The 5157-nt window shown below is 32.5% G+C and overlaps 1 annotated feature.

Annotated features, from left to right (window-relative positions):
* Positions 3962-4671: an enhancer, noted in NCBI's record as "OCT4-NANOG hESC enhancer chr9:121863119-121863828 (GRCh37/hg19 assembly coordinates)". NCBI's record gives its function as "activates a minimal SCP1, AML or CMV promoter by ChIP-STARR-seq in naive and primed H9 embryonic stem cells {active_cell/tissue: H9 hESC(naive and primed)}" and the evidence as "EXISTENCE:reporter gene assay evidence [ECO:0000049][PMID:30033119]".

Below are 5157 nucleotides of genomic sequence, written 5' to 3'. Positions count from 1 at the left end.
ATATGCATACAGGTGACCCTTGAACCACAAATGTCTGTACTGCTCAGGTCTGCTTATATACAGATTTTCTTCTGCCTCTGCCACTCCTGAGACAGCAAGACCAACACCTCCTTTTCCTCCTCCTCCTCAGCCTACTCATTGTGAAGGCAACAAGGATGAAGACTTTTATGATGATTCACCTCCATGTAAGGAACAGAAAATATATTTTCTCTTTCTTATGATTTTTTTAATTTTATTTTTTATTATTATTATACTTTAAGTTTTAGGGTACATGTGCACAACGTGCAGGTTTGTTACATATGTATACATATGCCATGTTGGTGTGCCGCACCCATTAACTCGTAATTTAGCATTGGGTATATCTCCTAATGCTATCCCTCCCCCCTCCTCCCACCCCACAACAGTCCCCGGAGTGTGATGTTCCCCTTCCTGTGTCCATGTGTTCTCATTGTTCAACTCCCACCCATGAGTGAGAACATGTGCTGTTTGGTTTTCTGTCCTTGTGATAGTTTACTGAGGATGATGGTTTCCAGCTTCATCCATGTCCCTACAAAGGACATGAACTCATCATTTTTTATGGCTGCATAGTATTCCATGGTGTATATGTGCCACATTTTCTTAATCCAGTCTATCGTTGTTGGACATTGGGGTTGGTTCCAAGTCTTTGCTATTGTGAATAGTGCCACAATAAACATACGTGTGCATGTGTCTTTATAGCAGCATGATTTATAATCCTTTGGGTATATACCCAGTAATGGGATGGCTGGGTCAAATTGTATTTCTAGTTCTAGATCCTTGAGGAATCGCCACACTGACTTCCACAATGGTTGAACTAGTTTACAGTCCCACCAACAGTGTAAAAGTGTTCCTATTTCTCCACATCCTCTCCAGCACCTGTTGTTGCCTGACTTTTTAATGACTGCCATTTTAACTGGTGTGAGATGGTATCTCATTGTGGTTTTGATTTGCATTTCTCTGACTGGCCTTATGATTTTTTTAATGGCATTTTCTTTCCTGTAGCTTACTTTATTGTAAGAATGCAATATATAATACATATAACTTATAAAATATGTGTTAATCAGCTATCTATGTTGTCAGCAATGCTTCCAGTCAATAGTAGGCTTTAGTAATTAAATTTTTTGGGAGTCAAAACTTATATGCAGATTTTTGACTGTGTGTTTGGGGGGATTGGTGCCCTTAGCCCACACATTGTTCATGGTTCAACTGTATATTTATATAAAGGTTGTAACATACAATTCTAATAAATCTAAAATTATTGCAAGTAATAAATGATTTCAGCAAAGTCACATCATATTTCTGAAAGTTGCAAAAAATAGAAAATTAAAGTTAAATATAGAATATTACATTATCACTAACATTGTAAAGCATGAAGTATATACAAATAAATTTGACAAAATGTGTGAATTACACACTACAATTATAAAAAATTGTTTAGAAAAGCTAAATAAGAAAAAAGAAAGACACATACCATTTTCATGGATTGTAACATCCAATACTTTCCCTGTATTAAGTTTTAGGTTCATTGCAATCTCAATGAAAATCACAGCTGTAAGTTTTTGACACAAACTGATAAGCTAGTTCTACAGTTTATGTAGAAATGCCAAAAACCTAGAATAGCTAAAACTATTTTTAAAATAAAGAATAAAATTACAAACTTTTACACTATCTGACTTTAAGACTTACTATATAGCTGCAAGTAATCAAGGCCGTGTGCTACTGAAAAATAACAGACCTATAGATCAAGAAACAGACCCACACTTATAGGTTTAATTGATTTTAGAGAGAGTGTCCTACGTAATCCAATGGAGAAATTAGAGTATTTTCAATAAATGATGCTTAAACAACTGTATCATTATGGAAAAATAAACACCAACCCATAAATCATAGCAGTCATACCATTATGTGATGAGAATGGATCATATATGCCTAAATATAAAAGCTAGTAGTATAAAAGTTTTAGGAGAATAAACATAAAGAATTATCTACAGACTTAGGGTAGGCATTTATTATAATAGGGAATTAGACTTCACCACAATTAAAATATTTTTTCTTTCAAAAAATAAGGTTGAAAAAAGCAAACACAAAGAAAATATTTTATACAAACATACACAAGAGAGTGTGTATATATATGTATATAGTTTATATAATTATATATGTGTATGTGTGTATAATCTGACAAAGGACTGGTATTCAGAGTACATAAAGACCTTTTCAACTCAATAAGAAAACAACCAAATTTAAAGGTAGTCAAAGGTTTGAACAGATGTTTTAAAATATAAGATAAACAAATATCTAAAAAGCACATGAAAAGACATTCAACAACCTAAATTTAAATCTGTATGTTTTTTCAAAATTCAAAACCACATAAAATTAATTAATGGTGTAGAAGTCAGGACAGGTTTGATGTGTGGGAAGTAGTGATGAGTAGAAGAGGGCACAATGGGGCCTCTGCGTGCTGGTAAGTTTCTCGGTCTGGATATAAATTGCACACATGTTCGTTTGTGGTTTATGCATATATGAATGTTACAGCTCAATAAAAAGCTTACTAAAAAAATCAAAAGCTGTTTTTTTATAAAGTTGATAATGTTAAAGTTTATCTCCAAGAATGAAACTTCTGAAAATAGGTACAAAACATTTTTGGAGCTGAGTAAAGTATATGGATTTGGGAGTTTGTAGTTGTGGTGTCAGGCTGACCTGAGTTTTAATCTCAGTTTTACCAGATAATAAATAATATTCATCTCAGTTTCCTTAGGTGAAACATTTATATAATCATTGCACTGACTTCAGAGGATTGTTTGGAAGAATAAATCCGACATATTTTGTAAAAGTAGTAAGCATTGTATATTGAAATATGTTATATATATTGGCCATGATCAATAAATGGTAGCTATTAAAATAATAACAGTGTGTATGAGAATAAGAATAATATTGATATGAACCAAAATAATTTTAAAATAGAGTAGCGATAGGGGAACAGGCTGATGGGTTATTCTTAAATGTTCATAAACTGGTCTGAGTATAGATAGGAATCAATATATAATACTGGTAGCATTTCAAGCAATGGGGATTAGATGAATTGAATCATAAGTCATTTTCAGACTCAAAAGCAGACAGCAAAAGGTGATAAAATTTTCATGTGGCTTACATGACAGACAAAGGATGATATAAAAAACTCATGAATCAATGAGAAAAAAAGATAAACAACTCAGTGTAAAGTGAATCAAGGACCCAATTAGGAAAATCACAAAAGAAAAAAATTTATTTAAATACTATATACATAAATTTAATATGCAAAATAAAGCATATTCGTATATACCCCATTGTTATAACCCCATCACAGACGAGTTATGTCAAATCAACAAGCTATATCCTTTTTGCTTATTCGATGGCTTATCAAAGATCATATATTCATGTTACCTTTGTGAGGAAGCAGACGTACTTTGCGTTTGAAAGTGAAAACTGGTAGAATCTTTTTGGAAGATAATTTGGAAATATGTACCAAAAAGCTTAAACTTGTGCATCTTCATTGATCCAGAAATTAGTTTTGTTAAAATTTATCAAAGAGAAGTAATTGTGATCATACTTAAGGGTTTAGATATAAAGAGAATAACTGCCTTCTCATTTGTAATGTGAAACTTTGGTTATAACTGTAGTTCAGATAATAGAAAATTATTCCATTCATCCAAGGAAATACTTTTTAGCACTGACAATGATATTAAGAAATAATTTTAAACACAGGAAATAATTTTTACAATATATTCTTCCATTTCAAAAAAGCCCATTACAAAACAATATGGATAGTATTATTCTATTTTTGCAAAATAAACACATATGTTTGGAGAAAAGACTAGTGGCAGAGTCCCACAGAATATTAAAAGTAGTTGCATCTGAATGACAAAATTATGGATGATTTAATTTTTTTCATTCTGCTTATCTATATTTTCTCAAGATTTTATAAGGTACATATATTACTTTACAATAAAAAGAAAGTTACAATATTTCAGTGCAATTTATGTAAAGGTAGCACCATTTGATGCATTGGTGGTAAAAATAAGGGAGTAATATATATGCTCTCTGCAAGGACAAATGCTATCTTTTCAAAACCAGAGTTTGGTAGTCAAAAAAAAAGACAATAGGCATGCAGAAATTGTGGAGAGCCTTACAACAGGCAAAGGAACATTATCTAAAAAGGTCAAGGAGTTGTAAACCATTTGGCAGACAATGGACAGCAATTACGTGCCTATAGTTGCTGAATCTCTGCCTCTTAGTTAATCTGGGTTAGAGGTGAAGTGGGAGATAAAAGCAGAAGTCACATTCTGCTAGGTCAGCCGATCATGTCATGCTAAGGAATTCAAACTTAATCCTTCAAAAACCGGAAAATAATTGAGTTAGCAGAGATCATGACCACATCTGAGTTTTTAAAAGTCCTGGTAGCATCGTTGGGGATGAATGGTATTGCTGGTGAGCAAATGGATATCACTTACTTAAGATGTCATTGCAATGGTCCATGCATCAGTGAAGACTTGTAATAAGGCAGTTATTATGGGAGCTAAGGGAAATGTGAGTTTGAGAGAAATTTAGGGTGTAGAATGAATGGAAATTGGTGATTATTAGAATGAAGAAAGTGGAAGTGAGAAAAACATCAAGGAATCTCCAATATGCTATTTTGAAGTATGAGGTATAGATAATGTTAATATTGCCTATATGCTCTCTATTTACCAGATTTATATGGATAGATAGATAAATAGGAACTAGGCAAAGCCAAGCTTATACAGGTACCAAGTATATATGGATAGATAGATAGATGCCTATCCATATATATGTATATACACACAATTAATATATACACACAATTAATTAAATTATACACACAATATATACACACAATTAATTAAAGACATTGTGGTGATTCCTCAAAGACCTAAAGACAGAAATACCCTATTTGTCTCAGCAACCCCACTACTGGTTATATACCCCAAGGAATATAAATCATTCTACTATAGAGACACATGCATACACGTTAATTGCAGCACTATTCACAGTAGCAAAGACATGGAATAAATCTAAATGCCCATCAATGATAAACTGGATAAAGAAAATGTGATTCATATACACCACAGAACACTATGCAGTCAT

The sequence above is a fragment of the Homo sapiens genome, chromosome 9 (assembly GCF_000001405.40).
Source record: "Homo sapiens chromosome 9, GRCh38.p14 Primary Assembly".
In the NCBI taxonomy this organism is placed as follows: domain Eukaryota; kingdom Metazoa; phylum Chordata; class Mammalia; order Primates; family Hominidae; genus Homo; species Homo sapiens.
The sequence above is the reverse complement of the archived record's forward strand: the minus strand, read 5'-3'. Positions and strand labels throughout refer to the sequence as shown.